Source organism: Homo sapiens, chromosome 3, assembly GCF_000001405.40.
Source record: "Homo sapiens chromosome 3, GRCh38.p14 Primary Assembly".
Lineage (NCBI taxonomy): Eukaryota > Metazoa > Chordata > Mammalia > Primates > Hominidae > Homo > Homo sapiens.
This window is the reverse complement of record NC_000003.12, coordinates 169,764,598-169,790,477: the sequence shown is the minus strand read 5'-3', so window position 1 is coordinate 169,790,477 and position 25,880 is coordinate 169,764,598. Positions and strand designations below refer to the sequence as shown.

Genomic DNA, 25,880 nt, shown 5'->3' with positions numbered 1-25,880 from the left:
ATTTGAAACACTGGCCAGATACTGTTATCCAAATATGTGGATGTTCACATCCATGGTGTTTATTTTAGTAAATTCTTCATGAAATTAAATACTGTGTTTACATGGTAATTATCTAATTTCTTAAACAAATACAGATGGTCCCTGACTTATGATTTCTTGACTTTACAATGTGTGAAACTAATACATATTCAGTATACTCTTTGACTTATGATAAACCCATAAGTCAAGGAGTCTCTGTACAGCAAACCTCTTTTGAATGAATGGAGGCAGGAGTTGCAGAGGACAGAAGAGTAGACTATAATTATTATCTCAAAAAATTAATGCTGTAATAAGTACATATCAATATTGCCCATAAATAACGAGTAAAAATGTAGAATTTAAAGAATTTTACTTGATGGTATTTCTAGTCAAGTTCTAGGTAGTTGGGGGGAGAGGGGAAGGATAGCATTAGGAGGAATACCTAATGTAAATGACGAGTTAATGGGTGCAGCACAGCAACATGGCACATGTATACATATGTAACAAACCTGCATGCTGTGCACATGTACCCTAGAACTTAAAGTATAATAATAATAAGAAAAAAAAAGTTCTAGGTACTCAAAATTTCCAGGTAAAATATTGAAAATTATATTCAAGAGCATCATTTTAAACTGCTTCCCAAAGGTAGAACATCAGGAAATGTTTAAGATAGTAGTTCATGGTTGGGCGCAGTGGCTCATGCCTATAATCCCAGCACTTTGGGAGGCTGAGGTGGGCAGATCACCTGAGGTCAGGAGTTCGAGACCAGCCTGGCCAACAGAATGAAACCCCATCTCTAACAAAAATTAGTCAGGTGTGGTGGCGCGCACCTGTAGTACCAGCTACTCAGGAGGCTGAGGCCGGAGAATTGCTTGAATCCAGGAGGCAGAGGTTGCAGTTAGCTGAGATCACGTCATTGCACTCCAGCCTGGGCAACAGAGTGAGACTCTACATGTTTGGTATACATTAAAATCACCTATGGGGCTTCCCCAGCATATATATGCCCTGGGAACTGTCTGATTCAATAGGTGGGGTGGGCCTGGATATTGTTATTTCTTAAGCATGTTTCTGATATGCATTAAATGTTAGAACTATTTAGAATACTTAAAAAAACTAGTACATGTACATTATTTCAACTACTCACACAATTTCTGTAGGACTGAAACACAGAAATTAGCTACTGTTGGAATGAAACTGATAGAACCATTACCTTTGAAAAAAGGTTTTCTAAAATTTGTCTATCAAAATCATCCTGTGAAATTAAACATAAGACAAATGCCATTTAAAAACAGCAAAAAAATTTTTATATAATCTACGGTTTCTTTTAAAATAGTCTAAAATCTAACATACAGTAGGCATGATCTGATACAAATACAAAAGAAAATTAAATTTATTTAGAAAATAGTTTCTCAGTAAGATCTTCACCTTCTAAAGACTTCCATAAAAATATGTAATACTTAAATAATTACTAATAGACCTTTCCCAAAACACTGCATTGTAACAAATATAAAGTTGGACTTAACTAAAATGGTAGTTATGAGTGTTAGAATGATACCAGATACAACTAAATATATGCATATTATGATAAATAATAGCATAGCATTAAGAGAAGAATGCCAAAGAAGGGATAGTATCTTCAAGTTTTCTCTACACATCATTCTAGAAGAGCAGAAAATGATGACAACTCAAGCCATGTCAATTTAAATAAAATTACTTTAGCTAAGAAGCAGAAAATGTGATCAAGAAAAGCTCAATCAATCTTAGCCACTTCAATCGTATCAAATAATACTAAAAATAATAAATTTGAAGGCTAATCTATGCAAAGGCAGAATGCTAATAATACCAGAGGAAATTTGGCAACTATTGCCCTTATAGAATTATGACGTCACTGTAGCAGTTTTTTGTTCATTAGATGCTTGGATTAACGAAGATATAAATAAATTAAACATAACCTCTCCATTTTAGCAAACTTCCTAAAGAGGCTGAGTCTTTTAATTTTCTATAATTTCTTCACATTCCAATACATTCCTATCACATTTAACCCAGAAGAGATTAGGTAACATTCTAATGCTTTGTAAATTGTATTTAAACCCACTATTTTAACTTGATACACATGCATAGATTTCTTAGATAAAATAATCAAATATTGTTTGCATCATACAAAGGTGGTATTTCAAACTCTATTCAAATAAGTCAGTCCCATGTCCCACCAGTGGCAATTTATTATGAAAATAATGTGTGTGCTGTGAAATGGTGAAGATCTCTACAGACTACAAGCATTAAGTGTTTTTATTATGTCCTCTAATTGGTTCTTATGACTTGGGTCCCAAATAGAGAAAATTAATGAATTAAAGAAATCAATACCAATAAAAAACATATTAACTGTACTACAGGTGTAGTTTAAAAGCAGAACACAAAAAAGCCACAGCATGGCAGAAATAAGAAATGATGTCATCTCACACTGAACAACAGCCTTGTGGGGGGAAAAAAAAAGAAAAAGAATATCACCATGCTGTTTGATTGGCACTATAAAAATTGACTTTGTGGAACTCATAATTTCATATCCAAAGATCAGGCAGTGAAATAAATTAATATGTGGGAAAAGTGGCATGGGGATGAGTGGTGCAAATATCAGGATAATAACGAATTTTCTACATTCATTTGGAAGGAAAAGGACCATTGTGAAACTACAACCACCACCAAAAGTTGTGGTTTAATTTATAAAATTAACAAACCCCAAACTTATAGAAAACTCAGATATAAAATATTTAACTATAGTTGGCTTTCTGGTAACTCAAAATGTTTACTTATAATTGAGGTTAATTTCTTAACTCTTTATGCAATATAATGTACCAAATTTAGAAGCCAAGTGATTTCTAGTATGCATTAAGTTTATATCTAGAAAATTCTTTCTGGAATTCAGTATTTATTTTAAAAAGTGCATAACAGGAGTAAGAGAGGCTTACCAAAATATTTCAAAACTCAAGTACATTTTCCTCATCTCCAATATTTTAGAACGGAATAAAACATAAACTGAATCAAATTTTGAAACTGTCTTTGACAAGATAAAAACACCAAATATCTACTTAAAATTCATTTTGAAAATACAATCTCAGATAACTCAAACCAAAAGTGCTGACCATTGGTTTTCTCCAGAATACTCAGTTCTAAATGAACAAAAATTTATATGCACTTTTCTAGATTTTGAGAAACATTTTTGTTTCATTAGAAAAGTTATTTCTAACAATATATTAATAGAGAAATAGCACAATTCTTATTCAGCGCCTAAATTTTTACGAGCGAAAATATGAAATTTTATTTTTATGCATAGTTTATGTATTGATCCATGGGGCTTACAAATAGCAACACACTCTTGGGCTGATACTATCGTGGATTTTGCTTAAATTATGAGGGCAGGAAAATTTTAAAATCCCACAGGTCACAACTGAATCACATTAACTGGCTGATTTAGTAAATGAAGGGCAATTCTAAAATGCAAAATAAAAATGGAATTAAGGCAGCTTTAAAAGAAAATAAAACTCATCCACCCAAAATAGTGCTACATAATTCATTACTTAAAAAGCTCTCTGTGGAGTATAGACATAAAGCCAAAAATAAAAACAAACATTGCAGTTGTGATGCAGCATCAGGTGCTTTTACTTCAGTGAATGAAAAATAATGGTCACAACTCAAATGAATGGGAATTTAATATGAATATATGCACCTTACCAGAGATGTTTGCTACCAATGATATCTTAGCAATTCCATATTCCTTACAAAGTCAGTATAATTGTTGTAAAAAAATCAACTGTGGTTCTGAATACCCATTCACAGTTGACCTCAACAATGTATCTGATGTAGGAGACTGAGTATCCGTGACAGGCAGAAGCATGTGATGGTCCTCAGTCCCAAGTGGAAGAGCTAATGGTAAAGTCATATCAGAAGGCTTCACATCCATAGTTTCTGATAAAGGACTTTTTTGTATGGAATCCTGTTCACTCAAAGTATGATCCTCTGCACTGGAGTCTAGAGTTTTATCTGCACCTAGAATGGAAGGAAAAAAAAATCTACATTATCTTTAAAACAAAACTAAACCCCTGAGGTAGACTAATGTACTTACCATTCCCAGAAATTACATTCCAACCACCATACCTTTACTCAAGCGGTTTCTCTTTTGTACATATGCCCTCCTCACTATCTATGTAAATTCAATCTGGGCCTCAAGGTTAAGTTCAAGCACCAACTCCATTTAAAAAAATGGACTTGATTAAGAATGAAACAGGGTGAGCTGTTATATCGGCTTAATCACACATTTGTCAATTTTCATATACTGCCTTGTGGCATCTATCTCTCTTATTGCCATTTAACATTCTACTCAGGTATGCCTTGAATCCTCAACCAGACTGTAAATTCTTTGAGAGTAAATGTCGTTATACTTCTTTAACTCCCTCAAAATATTAAACAGTGATAAGAAATACTCTTTTCATTCACTGAATGTTTTTAATAAGTTGTTCATATTATTCTGTGAGTTCAGAACAGTATGTATGGCACTTTCATATATTTTCAGAGGTGAGAAATTCTGCTCTACTCAAGGGAGCAATCAGCACACTGACTAAAGATGTACTTTTGCCTTCAAATTTTCCAATGGCTTTAACATGCTTCCGTTACTCTAAAGTGTTGACATGATTTTGGTTTCACCGTCCTTGTCACGCAGACAAAACTGCTTTCGTAAAATTGTAATTATCTGTATTCTTCCCAAACTACTCTTCACTTCAACTAGCTAAGGTTTCCTTCTTGTCCCACTGACTCTCTACAGTGTTCTCTGCCCGGAATGAATCCTCTCTTCCCATCTCCATCTTTGAACTCTTCTCCATCCTTCAAGTTAAAATTAAGTTTTTTTTAGTACTTACCTCAGAAAAACATAGTATCTTCTTTAGCACTTTTGTGTCGATTATGCCCTACATTTTCCCTATTTATTTAGTTTATTTAATTATTTATTTAGGTTTCTGGTCTCGCACACCAGGTTGTAAGTGCTTTGAGTACCAGAACTATGCCTTGTTTAACTTCATATTCCCTGAAAGTACACTTTACAGAAATTTAACAAGTGGTTAAATTAATGACTTACTGCAGTTTTTAGATGTTTCTAACTTAATACTTACGATGTTTAAGTATTTACACACCAGAAGGGCCTAGTGTCATGTCGAATAATGACGGAATAAAATGGTAAGCACAGGGAAACTTTTTCAAGAATTCACTTTAACCAATAGACTCAAAACTTGTTGTTTGGCTTTCCATTTTTATATATTATAACAATGTAGGGCTACCTGTTTCCCTATTTCCTCTTAAACATTTCTGGACTAGTGTTCATGATAACACCACCCCCCCCCCCTTTTTTTTCATAATAACCATAGTAAACCCTGAGTTATCCAGACTCCAGTATGGGAAACAGTGACACATAGCTTGCTTATATGTTCCTTCATGCTTGGGACTGTTATTAAGTCAGGTTTTCAAAGGAGGAAATGTTTCAAGTTTTTTTTTTTTTTTTTTAAATAAGAGATTCAATATGAAAAATCCAGAGTGAATGTTTCTGCAAAAAAGCTACTTTCCTCACATGTATATACCTAGTTTTTGAAATAGACATCTAATTTAAACTGCTTAAATGTAAATCTCATCTCAGCATTTTAAGGAATAGCACTAATATGAGCACCAAATTAAAACAAACAAACAAGCAAACAAAACACAAGCATTTACCAGAATGGACTTTTGTTTTGTGCTTCTTTAAATTTTTAATATCTGTGTAAGAATTTCCACATAATTCGCAGATAAATGGTCTTTCTCCTGAAAAACAAATTAGAAGTTTAAATTTCAATATTTTAAAAGCTGCTAGCTAAGACAAAAATATCAATGTTTATGAACACAAGGCAAAAATTATTATAGTGTTTAAATTTGGTTTCAAATTGTCACTTTAATCACCTGGTTATAATATAGTGAAATGAAAGATTCTATACAACCTAGACACTCCTTTATACAAAAAATCTGTATCTCAAGAAAACTTGAGCATTTTCATAAACAGAAATGTATCTGCAAACTAAAACAAACAAAAGCCTACTCTTGTATTTCTATGAAACATTTAGTGAGTGTCAGTTATATGCCAGACACTGGCTAAGAGATACAGCTGGGAGAAAATAAGTGTAATAATCATGGTTTCTGCTCTCAGGTACCTGGCAAATTAGAAAATCCTTAAAAATACTGACAGCATGCTACAATATTACACTTCTTTGGAAATAACTGTTCAGTGCTTTATGGTGTAAACTAAAGCGCGTCAGAATATAAAGTCACCAAAAACTTACTAAATCTCTATTAAGTACTCACATTATTCTAGGTAGGAATTATGAGAAGGAATTTTTAAAAAGAGAATGTCAGAACAGTACTCTTTCAAAGTGGCATTTTCCTTTGTTTTAAAATTTTTTACATTCAATATTTTCTTTATACAATTTACAAACTACTTTTTACAATAAGCATGTCAAAATTAAAATTTGTTCCTAAAAATTGCATACTAAACACTGTTTAGTAAGAAAATCTGATGTTATCTTGGTATTACCTATTCCTTTTCATTTCTTGGTATATCTGTGCAATTTAATCCAAATCATTTAAAAACTATTGATTATCTGGCATATTTCTTGGAAAACCAACACAATTCTTTAACAAATTTAATTCATACTCCAAACAACTAAAAAAAAAACAAAATAAGCAAATAAGTTGATATTTATACATTAAGATATTGCTATAGGTACAGTATGACTAAATACCATATAGTCCATAATGGCTTAAAAGTCAAGGTTTACATAAAAAGAAATTAAGAGAGAACAAAAAATAATACGTTCTCCCTAAACACAGACCTGTATGGGACCGAAAGTGTTTGTTGAGCTCTCCTGAGGAAATAAAACTTTTCCCACAAATACCACATATGTATGGTTTTTCACCTAGATGGAAAATAAAAGATAGCGAAGTGGTGTACTATACCAATATAATATTTATCAATTACAAATAATCTAAAGTAAGCTTTTCTGGAATATTATTTAAATTAAAATCTCTCTATATTGTACTTTAGAGGTATTTTCAGTGATCCAAGTAAATGAATATTAGTAATTATTGTATACTGTTCATAAGTTTTCATATATTAAAACTTTATTCCTCAAAATGTCCCTTCTAATAGAGATGATTTGGGCAAGGAATTTGATTTTTATATGATTAAGAACATGTCAATTCATAAACCCACATTTCTATTCTTGCTATCTACTATATTAATAAAGGAGAATAAAAGTATGTAGGGAAGTCTTTTAAAAAATGTACCCTAAAAAAGCAATTTGTTTCCAAACTGCTATTTTGCATCTGAATTACCTTATTTGAAAATCCCAGAATATCTGTGTAGGAAAGGTCCTAAGAAGTTTAAAAATCCATGTTCAACCCAAACCCACTCCCCAACCCTAACTATAGGAGATGACCCTTTAGGAAGCTGAAAAGGTTTTTATAAAGTCACAAAATGCATCTCAATGCAAGTTTATATAATATCAAAATTATCTCACTGATTTTAATGTGTAAGTTATATAATTTATTTCACCCACCTTGTATTATTCTAGAAAATAAGTCAGCTTTTATATTTAACAAATATGTGCAAAAATCATAAACATAGCTTATAGAAATATAAACAGATATCTAACTACAAAGTTTCCGATCTACTTCGCTAAAAGGCCCAAGTCCCCTTTTTCTTTTATTTATAACTTTATTTTAAGCAGTCTCTCCCTGTCAAACTTACCTGTATGTTTTCGAGAATGAGTGATAAGAGAACTAGAGACAGCAAATGCCTTCCCACAGGTATCACATACATAAGGCTTTTCTCCAGTATGCCTACGGACATGATAGGTCAGTGTGCTGGCTTGAGCAAATCTCTGTCCACACCTATCACAGACATATGGCTTCTCTCCACTATGCTTCCTGTTAGTAAATAAAGTTAAATAAGTAAAACAATTTGGAGGTCAGTCTATATAGCAAGAATTCATAAAGTTTTTTATAGATTTTATTTCATGTCATCTTAACAGGCCAAGACTATGTATTTAAAATCAGTAGTTGTTTCAGTGTAAACACTGCCAAAAACAAATATTTCTTATTATCAAAACATTAGTTCTGAGATCAGTTCAAAAAGTTTTTCCATGATCTTTATATGGTTGTCAGTGGGCCCCTAATACTGCAGGCAATTATTTTCATGAGTCTAGTCACTCTTTGACTTGTGAACTCTCTCCTCAAACCATCAGCATCTCCTTGCCCATTGTAACTCTCAGGTGACATCCCTGCTTCCTATTTCACTGAGAAAAATTCATATGACATGAGGGTGACAGTTCATCTGAATCCATCAATTCCAATTTGTATACTTGAGATCCTACTTAATGATATCACTTCTGCAGTTTCCCCAGTCCTACATCATCCATGTTTCTCACTCCATTGGATTATGGTATACAAATATACTGATGTCTCCCATATTAAAAAAAAACCAAAAACAAAACAAAGACCCTTGACCTTACTTGCTCCTCCATTCTCTGCTCCCCTTTACCAAAACCTTGAGACTCCAAGTGTTCTATCTACTTCCATTTCTTCTCTACTGGCCTCTACTAATGATACTTTTGTCAAGAGCACTGCTGACTTCCCACTTTACTAAATCCACGTCAGTTCTCAGTCTTCATCTCCCTATCACAGAATTTTACAATTGACCACTCCCATCTGGAATAACTTCCTTCACTTGGGATTCCAGGGCAGCCCTCTTTCCTGGTTTTCCTCCTCTACTGGCTGCTCCTTCCTAGTTACCTCTGCTGGTTCTCACCCATCTCTCAGAACTCATAAAGTTAGAGTGCCTCAGGGCCGTCTTTTGATTTCTTCTGTCCACATTCACTCTCTTGGTGACCTTAGCCAGGGTTACAGCTTTAAATACTGTCATATGCTGATGACTGCCAAACGCTAATGATTGCCAAACTGTTATCTTCAGCTCAAACCAGTCCCCTGAACTGCAGACTTAGATAACCAATTATCTATTGCACACCTCTATTCAGAAGTGTTAAGTCATCTCAAATTTAACACACACAGAACTGTACTCGTAAATTCCTGCACTTCCACTTAAACTGTTCTACCCACAAACCTTCTCTATCTCAGTTAATGGCAGCTCCATCTTTATAGGGGTTCAGGCCCAAAACCTCAGAATCATCTTTGACTCTCTTCCAGACTTCACATACAATCTGTTTGCAAATTCTATTATTTCTAACTTTAAAATATATCCAGAATCTACTACTACTTATTTCTTTCACTGCTGCCACCCTGGCCTGAACCACCATCACCCTTGCTTGGGTTTTATCTATAGATTCCTGTTTACCCTGATTCCACTCTTATAATCCTATACCAGTCAGAATGATCCTCTTAAGCTGCATTCTGGACCATTCTGATCTTACTTCTGGACGAGTCTGACCTTATTTCCTAGTAGTCCCCACCCCCTGCTTATTTCCTATCAACCACTGTGGCTTCCTTGTGGTTCCTTGAACGTGTTAACATTGTTTGGTGGAACCACAATTACAATTCTACTGTCCTGAATTCTAATATAATAGTCTATTCATAAGACTATGGTGATTAAAAGACTAAAAGATCAAACAACTCATTTGGTTTTTTACCTTGCATGAATCTTGAGATTGCTAGAAGTTGCAAACTGTAAGTTGCATACATCACATTTATAGGGTTTTTCTTCACCATGATGCATGCGACTATGGAAGACTAGCTGACATTTCTGAGCAAATCCTTTATCACACAATTCACATTTGTATGGCTTCTCACCTAAAGGAACAATAAAATTTATATTTAGAAGAAAATAGTGTTTTGGTTGCATAAGTCATATAAGATTTCATCAACAGTACTAGCTTTGTTATTAAGAAAATGTTAACTGTTGGAACTGAAAACAAATATAATCTTTTCCAGACCACTGAAAACACCAGTAGAATCAAAAGAAATTAGTGTTTCTGAATTCACGAGATAAATACATACAGCATTTTAAAAAGTACGAATCTAGGGCTGGGCTCGGTGGCTCACGCCTATAATCCCAGCACTTTGGAAGGCGGAGGCGGGCGGATCACGAGTTCAGGAGATCGAGACCATCCTGGCTAACATGGTGAAACCCAGTCTCTACTAAAAATACAAAAAAATTAGCCGGACTTGGTGGCAGGCACCTGTAATCCCAGCTACTCGGGAGGCTGAGGCAGCAGAATGGCTTGAACCCGGGAGGCGGAGCTTGCAGTGAGCCGAGATCGCACCACTGTACTCCAGCCTGGGCGACACAGTGAGACTCTGTCTCAGAAAAAAAAAAGAAAAAAGTACGAATGTAAACGTACCAATAGGTGCTCATACTTTACAACCAGGCAGAGGACATGCAAAATAAAGGTAACTGTAGAAGCTTAGGGAACACTGTATGTGTAATTCCAATGAACATGTTCAGAAGTCAACAGAGTCTAGAAGTATGTAATGAGAAGTGTTGGCAATATCTGAAAATTGGCCTGAATTGTAATTACATTTTCTCTTTATCAGTTTTAATGTCTTTGTCTCTGTTAAATACTTGGTAAGCTAGAATCAACATACTTATTTGGAGGGAAAATGGTATAAGGAGTTGATGCATTAGGGCTTAAACAGCCATTAAATACTTGGTTACAATTACAAATAAATTTTCAACAGTTTAACACTGTTAAATACTTTGATGAATAGAAAAATATACCAAATTCTGGTCACAAGTAGTGTGTGCTAAGTACTCTCTATAAAAATACACTATATTAGTCACAGTATAAAAATAATATCTCCCCACACACCCGTCTCACCTGTATGAGTTCTTACATGCGTTTTCAGCTGGTTACATTGGGTAAATGCCTTTCCACATAAGTGGCAGACGTAAGGTTTGACTCCTTTATGTATTCTCATGTGCCTTCTCAAACTGCTGGCTTCTGAAAACACTTTCCCACATGTGTTACACATTGGCTTGGCCTTGGAATACCTCTGATCCAGCTCTTCCCCGGAGTTCTCCGCCTCATAAGGACTCTTGACGCTGGCTATATTAGACATAGAGTGTTCTTTCAGAGCACAGTTTGGCTGTGATTTTCCACGTTTCCGTTTCACTGTAACAGTGTGCACAATATCTTGTGCTGGAAAAGTATTTTCCACAACTGATGTCAACTCGAGTTCTGAATTATCATTTATTTGTGCAACTTGTTCTACTACAGGTGTGGGCAGTTTATTTGCATCTAGGAATAATTCAACAGATGCATTCTCTAAGATGTCACTGGGATATTGCACTGTTTTATTCTGCCCTGTTTTCGGGGAGTTGAAAGCCTTCTTCTTCTTTTTCGTTTGAGATGACTTTTTCGCTAACGCGCCTTGTTTAGGATTTGCCTGAATCAAATCTGTAGATACTTCTGATTTCTCTCGATTATTATAATCTCGCAGAGTAAGAAGACAAGTCTGTTGATTCAATTCAATGTTTCCAGTAATACTAGATATCTCTGTAGAAGAAGGATTAGCAATAAAAGCAAAATCTTCCATCTTTATTTTGCATTTAGTGACCACCTCTTCCACTTTGAGATAGTCAGCAGCCTGATGAATTTCTTTAACATTCCAACTGCAAGGAAACAAGGCTACATGACAATATTCTGATCAAAGAAAAACTTTCGAAACAGAGCTGCATATATACTTCAATGTATTTTAAAGACCTAATGAAGCAGAATGCTGAAAAAGACATAACTAAGAGAAAAATAGATTTATAAATTCATTCAGAATAATGTTTAGGTAAAAAATCTCCAATTTTACAGAACTTCAAGAGATGAAAGATAATGGCTATTCACAGCTGACAGTGAACCACTGCAGAAAAATTAAATGTTAAATTTTCTGGCTTTTTTTTTAAAACCCTAGAACACAAAAATAGCTGATGGTAACTCACTACCTCCTCCATTCATCCTGAGGCTTCTTCAGATAGCAACCAACTTTTCTGGATTGGCAAGAGGGAAAGTCTAATGACACTTGTTTCCTACTATTTTCTCCTGCTCCCCTGTGAGGGACTTTAATTATGTTTCCCAAACTTTGCTGTGCATGTGAATCACCCGGGAATCTTGTTAAATGTAGATTCAAATTCAGTAGGTCTGTGATGGGGCCTGAGATTCTGCATTTTTTTTCTGTTTTGAGATGGGGTATTCTTCTGTTGCCCAAGCAGGAGTGCACTGGTATAATGATAACTCACCGCAGCCTTCAACTCCTGGGCTCCTGCGTCAGCTTCCCAAGTAAGTGGGACTACAAGCATGTGCTACCATGCCTGGCTATTTTTTTTGTAGAGGCAGGGTCTTGCTATGCTGCCCAGGCTGGTCTCGAACTCCTGGCCTCAAGTGATCCTCCCACCTTGGGCTCCCAAAGTGCTAGGATTACAAGCGTGAGCCACCAGCACAGCCTGCATTTCTTAATACACTTCCTGGTGATGCCAATGTTGCTTAGAGGAATCCACTTAGAGGAACAAGGTTTTAGAATGTTAAACTCTCTCTAGCAACCCTCCCACCTTTTTTGGTGATACTCAACCCAAATTAGCTGGAGTGTTCGTGATGTGAGAGTTACAAAGAAAGACTTAAGCCACCTTGTTCAATATTCTAGTCAAATGTTTACTAAGCATCTACCATGTGTGGTACTAAGATATTAATAAGTAAATAGTCTCTGCCCTTCAGAAGTTCACAATGTGGTGAAAGGTTGTTTGATTAATCTAGCACTGGCTCTGGCATTACTGGCTGACTTAATTAGGGTAAGTCAGCATCTTTGGGGGGTTCAACTTTCTTAGCTGTAAAATTAGAGTTGAGTTGGTGTTAACACTAAAAACATGACTGTTATAAGTATTTGAGGATGGAAACACACACACACACACACACACCCCTTACCCTCAAATAATCTTCCTACTTGATTTTTTTCCCTAAATATGGTTTATCTTTGGGAAGATGATCTCTTTCCCTCTCTGTTGTAAGTATAAGCCAGAAAAGGGTTTTAATCATAGCTGACAATGTAAATATAGTGCTGGTGATACTATTTTAAAGGACTAAAATTTGAAATAAAATAAAAAATAACTAGTGTCATGAACCTCTAAGATCTCTAAAAGTATGCTACAGTATCTACAAATCTCTACCCATGTTCTCATCATCTTCTAATTAAACTTGCTTTGCCTCAAGTGCCACCTGTATGTTTCCCCTTATTTAATTTAGCATCACAACAGCTTTCTAAAAATTGTCTTTTGGGCTGGGCCACTAAAAAAGATCTTTTGGTCTCTAATTGTGTTTAGTGCTCCATAAAATAAACCGCCAAACAGATAACAAGGTCAGGTAGCCTTTAAGACCAATATAAGTTAGCAGGAAGTCATACATTAATTGTTCAAGGCCGGGTGCAGTTGCTTATGCCTGTAAGGCCAAGGTGGGCGCATCACCTGAGGTCAGGAGTTCAAGACCAGCCTGGCCAACATGGTAAAACCCCGTATCTACAAAATACAAAAATTAGCTGGGCATGATGGCGGGTGCCTGTAATTCCAGCTACTCGGGAGGCTGAGGCAGGAGAATCCCTTGAACCTGGGAGGTGGAGGTTGCAGTGAGCCGAGATCACGCCATTGCACTCCAGCCTGGGTGACAGAGTGAGACTCCATCTCAAAAAAAAAAAAAAAAAAAAAAAAAAATTTGTTCAACATTGAAATGGTAATTCATACAAACTATTTCATAGATGGCTATAATCTCAGTCACAGTTAAGAGCACCAATCAATACTTCAATAACAGATTTGCTTTTGTTTACAAGTATTAGATAACATCCTCTGAACAGTCACTGAAGGTCATTTAATTACATATTGCCAGGTACATGCCTAAATGCTTTATAAGATTATCCTCAGGACATGCCTATGAAATCTATTATAATCCTCATTTTACACACAAGTGAAAAATCAGAAGTCCAAAGAAATAAAGTAACCTGTCCAAGAGCACAGAATGTTAGAACCAAGATTTGACCAAGGTAATCTGGCCCCTGAGCCAACTTAATATATTCTACCTGTTTTCTTAATCACTAAGTTGTAAGCCTTTCTATTTTGGTATAAATCCTCTCTTACATTTCTAGCTGAACTCGAGGAATTAGCTCCCCAGTCTCCAGGAAAGATATGTACCAAAAGAGACTGAACAAAACACCTGGCTGTTCTTCACATTGGTTCTTTGCATGAAGTCTCAAAGAAAAGTGCTCTACCGTGTATTCAAATGAAGATTTTTTTGTTTTGCATAGTTAATTGAGAGAAAGGGAAACCATTAAATTGCAGGCCAGCCAAAATTCACACTGCTCTTTTCCTTTAATCAACTTATAAAGAACTCACTTGAAGATTTCATTATACCAAAATTTAAAAATAATTCCAAAATAGCATGAAAGTTTACTTTTCTCTCCCTCCCCTCCCCCCACTGGATACTTCTTACACAAGAATGTTTCCTCGTCAAAAGGATTAATGAGCACCCTGATTCTAGATTTTTAAATAAGTATATTTCCATGATAAGTTACAATATAAAAGGGAGGGAAAGATTTTGCTTAATGTATACATGCACATCTCTACAGAGATCTGGAAAAGAATTAATTAATATATATCAAAAGGTTAACAGGGGTTATCAGTGGGCAGCAGTATTTCAGGTGTTTCTTTTTTGTTTTTTCTATTTTTTCTCCGAGAAATGTGGAATTAAAGGGGGAGGAGAGGGTAAAGAAGAAAAATAAAGAAATTAACGTTCAGTGGGAAGTGAATAAGGATCAAGTAAAACCTTATTTAGCCTCAAGGTAGTTATTACCATCTCATTTTGACAGATGGGGAAACTGAGGCCCAGAGAGATTGCATCATGCTCAAGGAGACATAGCGACTGACAGGAAAGATCTAATTCCAAAGCCTATAATCTTCCTGTGTCAGAAGATTATGAACAGTCTATTCATGTTCACTTTCATAAGAGAGACAGAAATAAGACAGGGGTAATTTAATCAGTTTCTCTTTGCTTTTATTCCCTCCACCTTTTCCCCTACAATCTGTAAATGTATTGATATTAATCTAATTATATGGTTCGTTATACAGGGGAGACACACAGTGCCTACATTATCAGATTCCTCAGAACCCACTTCTTGTTAATGCAGTGACATCAGTAAGCATCTTAGAGAATCATTCTAGCATCTCTGACCTTACTTCAGTATTAGTACTGGTAGGTTAATAGAGATAACAGGAGTCAGAATGAGGGAGACAGAAGACCAGAGGAATTCAAGGACCAAAAAGCAATGGGAAACTGGAAGTAACTTAGAATTTTTTGTTTGCAGCCTGGCCAGCATGGTGAAACCCTGTCTCTACCAAAAAATACAAAAATTAGCCAGGTGTGGTAGTGCACACCTGTAGTCCCAGTTACTAGGGAGGCTGAGGTGGGAGAATCGCTTGAACCCGGGAGGCAGAGGTTGCAGTGAGCCGAGATTGCCCCACTGCACTCCAGCCTGGGTGACGGTGAGCCCGTCTCAAAAATAAAATAAAATAAATTCATTGTGTTTAATGTTCAAGTTTACATAAGTGAAATCACAGGCTTTGTTTCAGTAAATAAACGTGTCAGAAATCTTACTGTTTATTATCTGTGCTTATGAAAAATATTGCCTGCTCATCCTAAATCAGTGATACTGATTTCTTTATAAAAACAAACATTGTGTGCATAAATAGGTGAAGAATTTGAGTTCAGAGAATGAATGGAAAAAATACAAATCTACTTTTGCTGTGAAGACTACTGACTAGCTTTTATAACTGAAAATAAAATGTGTACTTTACCTGTCAAGATTTAAAGTTCCTGTGTATATAAACTCCAACAGTTTCTGAAATCCATCAGCCTTCACCTGACTCTGATCAAGAAAGACATTGTTCTCAGAAGTGCTTCTGTAGATCGCACCAAAATACTCACTAAAGGAGGCCAGCACATTCCTATGAGCTTTAAACTGGAATTCCCCAATCACTATGGTACAGTCACAGAGAAAACCTGCTTCCCGCTGTTTGTTCAGTCTCTCTAAAAGGTGCTCACAGTGGTGCGAATACTGCATTTTGATATCAGAATGGAATTTTACCCTTGATCTAAAAGACAAAAAGAAACAGTAAATCAGTAACCGTAAGTTCTCATCAACGTTCAGTGAGGGAAGGGACAGAGGACATAACTTAAACAATTTTAGCCCCCTTGAAAATCCTTATCAAACATACATGGTTAAGAATGAAGGGATGAGTGCCTTTCTATCTTTGGTTACCTTGATCAACTAACACAATCCTTTGGACACATCAATAAGTGACGGTGAATGGCAACACTTCTACCACCTGCAAAAAGCACAGCAAAACCTGACGCTTTCACATCTGTTGAACCCTCAGATTTTCAAGCTCAGTAGACATACTTATGTTACAAAAAAATTTTTTAAACCACTAAGACATGATCTCTTGGGACAGATAGGGGCAGAACAGTACGAGTTTTTAAAAACTGCTCTCAAGTCACCAAAACCTGTTAGTTTCCCCAGTGCAGTTTCTCCAAAACGAGAGGTGGCTGCCCAGAAAGCCGGGAATGCGCCCGGCCATGGCTTGCTGTCAAAGGTTCTATCACTCGCGCTAAGGAGGCCACACCTTCTCCCTTCCCACTCTCTACGCGAGGCGGCATCCGAGAGTGACAACCAAAGCCAGTCCCTCCTCGGCTTCTGCCGCCCTGCCCTCTGCCCAGCTCCCACTCCCGCGAATTTCCACAGCAGAGGTTGTGGCCCAGGCCACCCCGGGGCTGCCTAGCCCAAGCCTTCCACCTGCGCCCCGACCCGTGCTGGAACTCCAAGGAGCCTGCCCTCTGATGGCCCAGGCTCTAGAGAGACCGGGATGGCGGGCTGGGGGTGAAGTAGGAACTCACCGATAGCAACCCAAGGGGGGAACACAGTTTCTTCACTCTGTCTCCGCCATCTTGGGAGGACGTCACCGAGCCACGCTCCGCCCCTCCCTTCCTTCCACGGTGGCGTCACGTCCGGCTCTGTCTTCCCGTGGCAGTGCGGGAGGTTCTGGGGCCATGGGGGTCCGGCGCCGGCCAGGGCGGTACAGGATGTACCACAGAGACCCACTCCCCAGCATGCCAGGGGTCCCCCGAAGCAGCAGGCGTCATGGATACGAGAGCTGAGGGCTCGCTAGCTCGCAGCGCTCCGCCTGTCTTCCTCATCGCGAGCATTCTGGTGCCGGCAGTCAGCGTCTGGCGCTCTGCCGGGGCTCTGCGCCGAGGCCCGGCAGCACAGCACCGCGGGCCTCTCTCCTGAAGCCAGCTGCGCACTGCGTGCGGGGGCTTGTAGTTGCTTGTCTTCTCCCATCATCCTCCCCTTCCTCGGGGCCCCACCGGTGGAAACTGCTGCATGTGTACTCGGATCTCTGCCATAGGGGATTTTTTAGCTGAGACTTGGCACCCCTTTCCCGCTTACGTACCTGAAAACTCTTGGCACCCCCTGGTTTTTTTGTGCCCCAGCCAACTGTAGCTCAGCTTCCAAGATGCCCTTACCTGGTGACAGAAGTCTGGGATGCACGAAAGCGGAGCAGCTGGGCACAGTGGGCATGCGCAACATTAGAGGAAGGTGGGCTTTATACCGGAAAAGGTTTTCCTGCGTCTGGACCAGAAGATTTTTAATACGATTATTTACAGCCACTTCAGACGAAAAACCAAGTGATATAATACAAAAATGCTCAGGAGGCGACAGGACTAACCACTTTTACACTTTGATCTTTCCTTCTAGGCTGTACATTATTTTTTCAGTGTTAGCTGGTGAGTCAAATTCATTTTTTAAAACCCGGGACACATGTTCCACGTGGCAAGGCTTCCATAAAAACATTTGGTGAACGAATAAAGTAACAAAAACTTACAGTTCAGACTCTCAAATTGCTATCATGTCTTTTGAAGGACCGGCATACATTAAGCTAAGGCTTCCCTCAGAAAAAAAAACAAAACAAACAACAAAAGAAAACAAAGCGTGATCTCACGCTTTCTTCCAAGCGAAGGAAAAAAAAAAAAAAAAAAAAAGGGATTTTTTAGTGTGTTTCCGCCCGGTTTCGAACCGGGGACCTTTCGCGTGTTAGGCGAACGTGATAACCACTACACTACGGAAACCCCACTTTGGAGAGGGTTTTGTAAAGTCCTTGATATGTAAGTGTCAATTCGCAATTCTCAAGTGATTATTATCAAATTGAGAGGAATGAATATAATGTATTTAAAGAAAAAAACAGAAAAGGAAAAATAGCCTATGCCCAATTGAACAGAGCTGAAACCATTTCAAAAGCTTGAATCTGCACGCACTTTCTTCCAAAGTGCCCGGGTACCGCAGTAGAAACCAGGCACTCCCGAGTTGCCCTTCCTTTGGGTGGCCTTTTTTTTTTTTGTCTCCCTGGAAAGGCGTTTTATTACACATCCTTTCCGCAGGTTGAGCTGCTCAGAGTCCGGGGCGAAGCAGGGGGCTTTCGTTATTCAGCCGCGAAAAAGCCATCCTTTCAGCTTCTGGTGGAAGGACGTGTAAAATTACTTTTGAATTTCCTCTTTTTGCTTCCGAAGACCAAGCAGAAGTTCTAAATTGACTGCTTGTTTTCAAATTCTCTACAGATGTATGCAGAATCAGACACCAAGATGCGTTTATTGACATGCAATGTACTTTCAAATTTTTCCAAACTTGAATTTCATATGACCTGATAAACTTCACTTTTCCTGCAAAAAGACAGGCACGTCCTTCAGCCTAAAAATCAAGAGTAGCGAATGAGGCTTGCAGATTACACCAGAAGGATAGAAATCGAAATATATATATTTATATTTATTATATATAAATATAAATTTTTATATATTTATTATATATAAACATAAATTTTTATATATTTATTATATATAAACATAAATTTTTATATATTTATTATATATAAACAAATTTTTATATATTTATTATATATAAACATAAATTTTTATATATTTATTATATATAAACATAAATTTTTATATTTATTATATATAAACAAATTTTTATATTTATTATATATAAACATAATTTTTTATATATTTATTATATATAAACATAATTTTTTATATATTTATGATATATAAATATAATTTTTTATATATTTATGATATATAAATATAATTTTTTATATATTTATGATATATAAATATAATTTTTTATATATTTATGATATATAAATATAATTTTTTATATATTTATGATATATAAATATAAATTTTTATATATTTATGATATATAAATATAAATTTTTATATATTTATGATATATAAATATAAATTTTTATATATTTATGATATATAAATATAAATTTTTATATATTTATGATATATAAATATAAATTTTTATATATTTATGATATATAAATATAAATTTTTATATATTTATGATATATAAATATAAATTTTTATTTATGATATCTAAATATAAATTTTTATTTATGATATCTAAATATAAATTTTTATTTATGATATCTAAATATAAATTTTTATTTATGATATCTAAATATAAATTTTTATTTATGATATCTAAATATAAATTTTTATATATGATATCTAAATATAAATTTTTATATATGATATCTAAATATAAATTTTTATATATGATATCTAAATATAAATTTTTATATATGATATCTAAATATAAATTTTTATATATGATATCTAAATATAAATTTTTATATATGATATATAAATATAAATTTTTATATATGATATATAAATATAAATTTTTATATATTTATGATATATAAATATAAATTTTTATATATTTATGATATATAAATATAAATTTTTATATATTTATATTTATGATATATAAATATAAATTTTTATATATTTATATTTATGATATATAAATATAAATTTTTATATATTTATATTTATGATATATAAATATAAATTTTTATATATTTATATTTATACATATAATAAATATAAATATAAATTTTTATATATTTATATTTATACATATAATAAATATAAATATATATATTTCGATTTATATCCTTGCTTAAATATATAAATATATATTTTATAAATATATAAATATATTTATATAATATAACATATATTTATATAAATTATATAAATTTATATATTTTTTAATATTTTATATTTAAATTTATATATATTTATATAAATATATATAAATTTATATTTATTTACATATTTAAGCTAGGAACTACTATTTTGTTTTAATTGCGTACATTTTGCTTGGAAATCACAGGAAGAAACACAACAAAGCATTGCCCAAGGTACAGAAACAATAATAAACGTACTTAAAACTCATTTAAATTCCAGCATTTTTCTCCTTATTTTAGAAGTTTAACATTTCAGAAGCAGACACTGCCTCCCTTCCTGCAACAACTTTCTCCTCTTAAGTCTCATTTTTCCCCAGTTTCAAGGGCGAATTCTAGAACTCCCCGGAACCGCCACCAGTTAACCAGAATTCCGTGGCTTTGGAAAATAAAACTGCTGTTATAGCTCTTCTGGGTATTTGAGAAATGCACTTGTGAAGGGTTAGAGTTGAATCTTTTGATGCGAAAGTCGGGTTTTCCTGATACTGGGATTCCGGGATTCCAGGTGTTGGGGTGGCCCAATTCCTGCGAGAAGCAATAGCGGGCGGTAACATGAGGAGCACGGTGCGTCCAGCGAGTCCTTCCGCCTGGGGCCCTGCCGACCCCCTGCCTGCGCCCCCAGGACTCTGGCCTCACCCGGCCGTGCCGGGGCCTCTGTGACGCGGCGTTCCAGGCACTCGGCCCCGGCCGAGCCCGTAGCTAGAGCGGCTCAGAGACAGGAGGCGGCGGCAGCAGCGGCGGCATGAACCACTGCCAGCTACCGGTGGTGATCGACAACGGCTCGGGAATGATCAAGGCGGGCGTGGCTGGGTGCCGGGAGCCCCAGTTTATCTACCCGAACATTATCGGCCGCGCCAAGGGCCAGAGCCGCGCGGCCCAGGGCGGGCTAGAACTCTGCGTGGGCGACCAAGCTCAGGACTGGAGGAGCTCGCTGTTCATCAGGTACCTCCTTCTCCCAGCAGGCTGCTGGGGCTGGGGAGGGTGGGTGGGGTGGGGGTGGGGTAGGGTGGGGCTGGGGAGGTTGGGGGGTGGGGCTGGGGTGGCTGGGGGTGGGGGGACTGGGGGTGTTGTCGGGGGGCAGGAAAGGACCCCAAAGGAGGTGCGCAATGGGGACAGAAAGAATAAGAAAGCCGGGAGCTGGAAAGCCCCATCCAGCTGGAATTACTACAAACGCACGGGCCACAAATCTCCAAGGGTACCACACATCTAAAAACTGAACATTTTGCTCTCTGTGGCTATACAAATGTATTAAAACGTATAAAGTTATCGAACGAATTCATTTAAGAATATTAACTCATGGTCCCTTTTGTCACTTGGGTTATTCTCTTCAATTGACATTTAAACTATACTATAATGTGGACATTTCCCAATTTTTTAAAAGTCACAAGGTTCCAAAGGACAGAGAAAATGGAAAGCAACAAAAATCGCAGAGGTAGGCCGGGCGCGGTGGCTCACGCCTGTAATCCTAGCACTTTGGGAGGCCGAGCAGGGCGGATCACGAGGTCAGGAGTTCGAGACCATCGTGGCTAACACGGTGAAACCCCGTCTCTACTAAAAATACAAAAAAATTAGCCGGGCGTGGTGGCGCGCGCCTGTAGTCCCAGCTACTCAGGAGACTGAGGCAGGAGAATGGCGTGAACCCGGGAGGCGGAGCTTGCAGTGAGCTGAGATCGCGCCACTGCACTCCAGCCTGGGTGACAGAGCGAGACTCTGTCTCCAAAAAAAAAAAAAAAAATTGCAGAGGTAAGTAGCTGTGCTATTTTTGGCTGACACTTACCTGCTGTGAGAGGCTGTGGCAGTTATTGCCCATAAAGGGATATTGGTAATAAACGCGGGGAATTAACTGAGGGTCGAAGACAATAGAAACTAGAAAAATAAAAAGCTGTCATTGATCTTATTGCTTTCCTTACAGTTACCCAGTGGAGCGTGGTCTCATTACTTCATGGGAGGACATGGAGATCATGTGGAAGCATATCTATGACTATAACCTAAAGCTGAAGCCGTGTGATGGCCCAGTCTTGATTACTGAGCCAGCGCTGAACCCACTGGCCAACCGGCAACAGATCACGGAAATGTTTTTTGAGCATCTGGGTGTTCCTGCCTTCTATATGTCCATCCAGGCTGTGCTGGCTCTCTTTGCTGCTGGCTTCACTACTGGCCTTGTGCTGAATTCAGGTGCTGGGGTTACCCAGAGTGTGCCCATCTTTGAGGGTTACTGTCTGCCTCATGGTGTGCAGCAACTGGATCTGGCAGGCCTTGACCTCACCAACTACCTCATGGTGCTAATGAAGAACCATGGTATCATGTTGCTCAGTGCTTCAGACAGAAAGATTGTTGAAGACATCAAGGAGAGCTTTTGTTATGTGGCAATGAACTACGAAGAGGAAATGGCCAAGAAACCCGATTGTCTAGAGAAAGTTTACCAACTACCTGATGGGAAGGTCATCCAGCTCCATGACCAGCTCTTTTCTTGTCCAGAGGCCCTCTTCTCTCCGTGTCATATGAACCTTGAGGCCCCTGGCATTGATAAGATATGCTTCAGCAGCATAATGAAATGTGATACAGGCCTGAGGAATTCCTTCTTTTCCAATATTATCCTTGCCGGGGGATCAACCTCTTTCCCTGGTTTAGACAAGCGGTTAGTTAAGGATATAGCAAAGGTGGCTCCTGCCAACACCGCTGTGCAAGTTATAGCTCCTCCAGAAAGGAAAATATCAGTGTGGATGGGAGGTTCTATTCTTGCATCCTTGTCTGCCTTCCAGGACATGTGGATCACTGCTGCAGAATTTAAAGAAGTTGGACCCAACATAGTACACCAAAGATGCTTCTGAAATACAGATAAAATGGTTGGAAGAAAATGTTTTGAGTATATGTGACAGAAAACTTTGGATATTATATGTTTCTGGGAGAAGAGAAAATACTTCACCTATTGGGATGCCAATATTTCTGTTGTATTTCTATAATGGGTTTGGGGGATAATAATGGTGAAGCTCAAGAACAGATGTCTATTGAGTAGAACCAAGTTAAAATAATGTTTCCCATAGTGTTTCTTCTATAACTTGACGTTGGTGAGCTTATATTTCCCTTGGAAGAGAGCATTTGTGGTACAATATGCTATGTGCCAAATGAGTGATAAGATTTAAGCTTATTGAAGTTTAGGGAAAGAAGGTTGCTGTGGTGAGGAACGAGACTCCATAGCAGAGGTATGCCATCATGGAAGGGGTGGCATTGGGATGGAGCGCAGATATCCAGGCAAGCATACTAAAATGAACAAGTTGCTAAAGATGAGAATGAACAAAGCATATTCAGGGCATGTTTAATAGACTGATTTTGTTTTTAAAATTTTTGTTTATGTATGTATTTATTCATTTATTTAGTTTTAGAGGCAGAGTCTTGCCCTGTGTCCCAGGCTGGAGTGCAGTAGTGCAATCATAGCTCACTGCAGCCTCCAACTCCTGGGCTCTGCCCTCAGCCTCCCAAGTAACTGAATCCACAGGTATGCACCACCACGCCTAAGTTTAGACTGATTTTGTTCAAGTCAAGAGCTCATATAGAGCAGAACAAGCGCTATGACTAGCAAGGTTAAGTGAAGGCCAGGGACTGAAAGGCTTAAAGTGCTAAATATCCAATATGCAAAGGAGAGAAATTAAAGATTTAAAAGCAGGAGCCATAAGGAAACTATGTTATGATGAATGTGATAGTTTGGAGAATAAATTGAATGAGGAAGGCCCTGGAGATTTGGTGATCAGTTAGAAAGTTACTAGTCCACATATAAAGTGCCAAGTCTTGTACTCAAGATTATAAGCAATAGGAATTTAAAAAAAGAAATTATGAAAACTGACAAGATTTAGTGCCTACTTAGATATGAAGGGGAAAGAAGGGTTTGAGATAATGTGGGATGCTAAGAGAATGGTGGTAGTGTTGACATATAACTCAAAGCATTTAGCATCTACTCTATGTAAGGTACTGTGCTAAGTGCAATAGTGCTAAAAACAGGAGTCAGATTCTGTCCGTAAAAAACTTTACAACCTGGCAGATGCTATGAAAGAAAAAGGGGATGGGAGAGAGAGAAGGAGGGAGAGAGATGGAGAGGGAGATATTTTACTTTTCTTTCAGATCGAGGACCGACAGCGACAACTCCACGGAGTTTATCTAACTGAATACGAGTAAAACTTTTAAGATCATCCTGTCATTTATATGTAAAACTGCACTATACTGGCCATTATAAAAATTCGCGGCCGGGTGCGGTGGCTCATACCTGTAATCCCAGCACTTTGGGAGGCCGAAGCGGGTGGATCACTTGAGCCCTGGCGTTCGAGACCAGCCTGGGCAACATGGTGAAACCCCCGTCTCTACTAAAAACACAAAAACTAGCTGGGCGTGGTGGCAGGCGCCTGTAATCCCAGCTACTCAGGAGGCTGAGACACGAGAATCGCTTGAACCCGGGAGGCAGAGGTTGCAGTGAGCCGAGATCACGCCACTAGACTCCATCCAGCCTGGGCGAAAGAGCAAGACTCCGTCTCAAAAAAAAAAATCGTTACAATTTATGGTGGATTACTCCCCTCTTTTTACCTCATCAAGACACAGCACTACTTTAAAGCAAAGTCAATGATTGAAACGCCTTTCTTTCCTAATAAAAGGGAGATTCAGTCCTTAAGATTAATAATGTAGTAGTTACACTTGATTAAAGCCATCCTCTGCTCAAGGAGAGGCTGGAGAAGGCATTCTAAGGAGAAGGGGGCAGGGTAGGAACTCGGACGCATCCCACTGAGCCGAGACAAGATTCTGCTGTAGTCAGTGCTGCCTGGGAATCTATTTTCACAAAGTTCTCCAAAAAATGTGATGATCAAAACTAGGAATTAGTGTTCTGTGTCTTAGGCCCTAAAATCTTCCTGTGAATTCCATTTTTAAGGTAGTCGAGGTGAACCGCGTCTGGTCTGCAGAGGATAGAAAAAAGGCCCTCTGATACCTCAAGTTAGTTTCACCTTTAAAGAAGGTCGGAAGTAAAGACGCAAAGCCTTTCCCGGACGTGCGGAAGGGCAACGTCCTTCCTCATGGCCGGAAATGGAACTTTAATTTCCCGTTCCCCCCAACCAGCCCGCCCGAGAGAGTGACTCTCACGAGAGCCGCGAGAGTCAGCTTGGCCAATCCGTGCGGTCGGCGGCCGCTCCCTTTATAAGCCGACTCGCCCGGCAGCGCACCGGGTTGCGGAGGGTGGGCCTGGGAGGGGTGGTGGCCATTTTTTGTCTAACCCTAACTGAGAAGGGCGTAGGCGCCGTGCTTTTGCTCCCCGCGCGCTGTTTTTCTCGCTGACTTTCAGCGGGCGGAAAAGCCTCGGCCTGCCGCCTTCCACCGTTCATTCTAGAGCAAACAAAAAATGTCAGCTGCTGGCCCGTTCGCCCCTCCCGGGGACCTGCGGCGGGTCGCCTGCCCAGCCCCCGAACCCCGCCTGGAGGCCGCGGTCGGCCCGGGGCTTCTCCGGAGGCACCCACTGCCACCGCGAAGAGTTGGGCTCTGTCAGCCGCGGGTCTCTCGGGGGCGAGGGCGAGGTTCAGGCCTTTCAGGCCGCAGGAAGAGGAACGGAGCGAGTCCCCGCGCGCGGCGCGATTCCCTGAGCTGTGGGACGTGCACCCAGGACTCGGCTCACACATGCAGTTCGCTTTCC

At 38.1% G+C, this 25,880-nt stretch overlaps 2 protein-coding genes and 2 non-coding genes across 8 annotated transcripts, besides 24 other annotated features; 2 read left to right on the top strand and 2 right to left on the bottom strand.

Moving 5' to 3' along the window:
• Nucleotides 1-761: 761 nt before the first annotated feature.
• On the bottom strand, nucleotides 762-17,082 carry MYNN (myoneurin). Of its 5 annotated transcripts, NM_001185118.2 has the most exons (9): nucleotides 17,016-17,082; nucleotides 16,381-16,447; nucleotides 15,917-16,213; nucleotides 10,917-11,710; nucleotides 9,729-9,888; nucleotides 7,835-8,013; nucleotides 6,918-7,001; nucleotides 5,770-5,856; nucleotides 762-4,062 (listed from the first exon to the last, which is right to left on the bottom strand). In NM_001185118.2, the coding sequence occupies exons 3-9, from the start codon at nucleotides 16,180-16,182 to the stop codon at nucleotides 3,800-3,802; spliced, it is 1,833 nt and encodes a 610-aa protein (NP_001172047.1). In that variant the 5' UTR covers nucleotides 16,183-16,213; nucleotides 16,381-16,447; nucleotides 17,016-17,082; the 3' UTR covers nucleotides 762-3,799. The 5 variants fall into 5 exon arrangements, 3 of the variants coding, with proteins under 3 accessions (NP_001172047.1, NP_061127.1, NP_001172048.1); NR_033703.2 differs by lacking the exon at nucleotides 16,381-16,447 and having other exon boundaries at nucleotides 10,917-11,594; NR_033702.2 differs by lacking the exon at nucleotides 16,381-16,447 and having other exon boundaries at nucleotides 16,047-16,213.
• Nucleotides 16,916-17,419: an enhancer, noted in NCBI's record as "H3K27ac hESC enhancer chr3:169490847-169491350 (GRCh37/hg19 assembly coordinates)". NCBI's record gives its function as "activates a minimal SCP1, AML or CMV promoter by ChIP-STARR-seq in primed H9 embryonic stem cells {active_cell/tissue: H9 hESC(primed)}" and the evidence as "EXISTENCE:reporter gene assay evidence [ECO:0000049][PMID:30033119]".
• Nucleotides 16,916-17,542: a biological region, named in NCBI's record as "H3K27ac hESC enhancer GRCh37_chr3:169490847-169491350".
• Nucleotides 16,983-17,277: an enhancer, noted in NCBI's record as "tiled region #7912; HepG2 Activating DNase unmatched - State 1:Tss, and K562 Activating DNase unmatched - State 1:Tss". NCBI's record gives its function as "activates a minimal TATA promoter and a strong SV40 promoter by Sharpr-MPRA in HepG2 and K562 cells {active_cell/tissue: HepG2 | K562}" and the evidence as "EXISTENCE:reporter gene assay evidence [ECO:0000049][PMID:27701403]".
• Nucleotides 16,993-17,542: an enhancer, noted in NCBI's record as "active region_20785". NCBI's record gives its function as "activates an Ori minimal core promoter by ATAC-STARR-seq in GM12878 lymphoblastoid cells {active_cell/tissue: GM12878}" and the evidence as "EXISTENCE:reporter gene assay evidence [ECO:0000049][PMID:35858748]".
• TRV-AAC1-1 (tRNA-Val (anticodon AAC) 1-1) lies at nucleotides 18,176-18,248 on the bottom strand. Its single transcript has one exon. It is a non-coding gene; the product is annotated as a tRNA-Val (tRNA).
• Nucleotides 18,433-18,532: an enhancer, noted in NCBI's record as "active region_20784". NCBI's record gives its function as "activates an Ori minimal core promoter by ATAC-STARR-seq in GM12878 lymphoblastoid cells {active_cell/tissue: GM12878}" and the evidence as "EXISTENCE:reporter gene assay evidence [ECO:0000049][PMID:35858748]".
• Nucleotides 20,693-20,837: an enhancer, noted in NCBI's record as "145 bp 3:169487501 sequence used in MPRA reporter constructs". NCBI's record gives its function as "activates a minimal TATA-containing promoter with rs9811216 allelic activity by MPRAs in C283T melanocytes {active_cell/tissue: C283T}" and the evidence as "EXISTENCE:reporter gene assay evidence [ECO:0000049][PMID:36423637]".
• Nucleotides 20,693-20,848: a biological region, named in NCBI's record as "melanoma risk locus-associated MPRA allelic enhancer 3:169487501".
• Nucleotide 20,765: a transcriptional cis regulatory region, noted in NCBI's record as "rs9811216 or 3:169487501 MPRA-significant variant associated with a GWAS melanoma risk locus at 3q26.2". NCBI's record gives its function as "allelic transcriptional activity by MPRAs in C283T melanocytes {active_cell/tissue: C283T}" and the evidence as "EXISTENCE:reporter gene assay evidence [ECO:0000049][PMID:36423637]".
• Nucleotides 20,779-20,848: a silencer, noted in NCBI's record as "silent region_14875". NCBI's record gives its function as "represses an Ori minimal core promoter by ATAC-STARR-seq in GM12878 lymphoblastoid cells {active_cell/tissue: GM12878}" and the evidence as "EXISTENCE:reporter gene assay evidence [ECO:0000049][PMID:35858748]".
• On the top strand, nucleotides 20,917-23,557 carry ACTRT3 (actin related protein T3). The gene is made up of 2 exons (NM_032487.5): nucleotides 20,917-21,157; nucleotides 22,128-23,557. Exons 1-2 carry the CDS (start codon nucleotides 20,958-20,960, stop codon nucleotides 23,044-23,046), a joined length of 1,119 nt encoding a protein of 372 aa, NP_115876.3. The 5' UTR covers nucleotides 20,917-20,957; the 3' UTR covers nucleotides 23,047-23,557.
• Nucleotides 20,929-21,188: an enhancer, noted in NCBI's record as "active region_20783". NCBI's record gives its function as "activates an Ori minimal core promoter by ATAC-STARR-seq in GM12878 lymphoblastoid cells {active_cell/tissue: GM12878}" and the evidence as "EXISTENCE:reporter gene assay evidence [ECO:0000049][PMID:35858748]".
• Nucleotides 22,050-22,194: an enhancer, noted in NCBI's record as "145 bp 3:169486144 sequence used in MPRA reporter constructs". NCBI's record gives its function as "activates a minimal TATA-containing promoter with rs9822885 allelic activity by MPRAs in C283T melanocytes {active_cell/tissue: C283T}" and the evidence as "EXISTENCE:reporter gene assay evidence [ECO:0000049][PMID:36423637]".
• Nucleotide 22,122: a transcriptional cis regulatory region, noted in NCBI's record as "rs9822885 or 3:169486144 MPRA-significant variant associated with a GWAS melanoma risk locus at 3q26.2". NCBI's record gives its function as "allelic transcriptional activity by MPRAs in C283T melanocytes {active_cell/tissue: C283T}" and the evidence as "EXISTENCE:reporter gene assay evidence [ECO:0000049][PMID:36423637]".
• Nucleotides 24,620-25,486: a promoter, noted in NCBI's record as "hsProm867". NCBI's record gives the evidence for it as "EXISTENCE:reporter gene assay evidence [ECO:0000049][PMID:9546436]".
• Nucleotides 24,620-25,789: a biological region, named in NCBI's record as "telomerase RNA component (TERC) promoter". NCBI's record gives its function as "regulatory_interactions: TERC".
• Nucleotides 24,982-25,486: a promoter, noted in NCBI's record as "hsProm505". NCBI's record gives the evidence for it as "EXISTENCE:reporter gene assay evidence [ECO:0000049][PMID:9546436]".
• Nucleotides 25,250-25,789: an enhancer, noted in NCBI's record as "H3K27ac hESC enhancer chr3:169482477-169483016 (GRCh37/hg19 assembly coordinates)". NCBI's record gives its function as "activates a minimal SCP1, AML or CMV promoter by ChIP-STARR-seq in primed H9 embryonic stem cells {active_cell/tissue: H9 hESC(primed)}" and the evidence as "EXISTENCE:reporter gene assay evidence [ECO:0000049][PMID:30033119]".
• Nucleotides 25,308-25,327: a protein binding site, noted in NCBI's record as "Sp1.2 (h4)". NCBI's record gives the evidence for it as "EXISTENCE:protein binding evidence [ECO:0000024][PMID:11228546]".
• Nucleotides 25,355-25,376: a protein binding site, noted in NCBI's record as "h10". NCBI's record gives the evidence for it as "EXISTENCE:protein binding evidence [ECO:0000024][PMID:11228546]".
• Nucleotides 25,360-25,364: a CAAT signal. NCBI's record gives the evidence for it as "COORDINATES:motif similarity evidence [ECO:0000028][PMID:11228546]".
• Nucleotides 25,374-25,401: a protein binding site, noted in NCBI's record as "Sp1.1 (h9)". NCBI's record gives the evidence for it as "EXISTENCE:protein binding evidence [ECO:0000024][PMID:11228546]".
• Nucleotides 25,390-25,394: a TATA box. NCBI's record gives the evidence for it as "COORDINATES:motif similarity evidence [ECO:0000028][PMID:12586348]".
• Nucleotides 25,416-25,440: a protein binding site, noted in NCBI's record as "Sp1.3 (h112)". NCBI's record gives the evidence for it as "EXISTENCE:protein binding evidence [ECO:0000024][PMID:12586348]".
• Nucleotides 25,418-25,868, top strand: TERC (telomerase RNA component). Its single transcript, NR_001566.3, has one exon.
• Nucleotides 25,436-25,453: a protein binding site, noted in NCBI's record as "Sp1.4 (h113)". NCBI's record gives the evidence for it as "EXISTENCE:protein binding evidence [ECO:0000024][PMID:12586348]".
• Nucleotides 25,478-25,737: a silencer, noted in NCBI's record as "silent region_14874". NCBI's record gives its function as "represses an Ori minimal core promoter by ATAC-STARR-seq in GM12878 lymphoblastoid cells {active_cell/tissue: GM12878}" and the evidence as "EXISTENCE:reporter gene assay evidence [ECO:0000049][PMID:35858748]".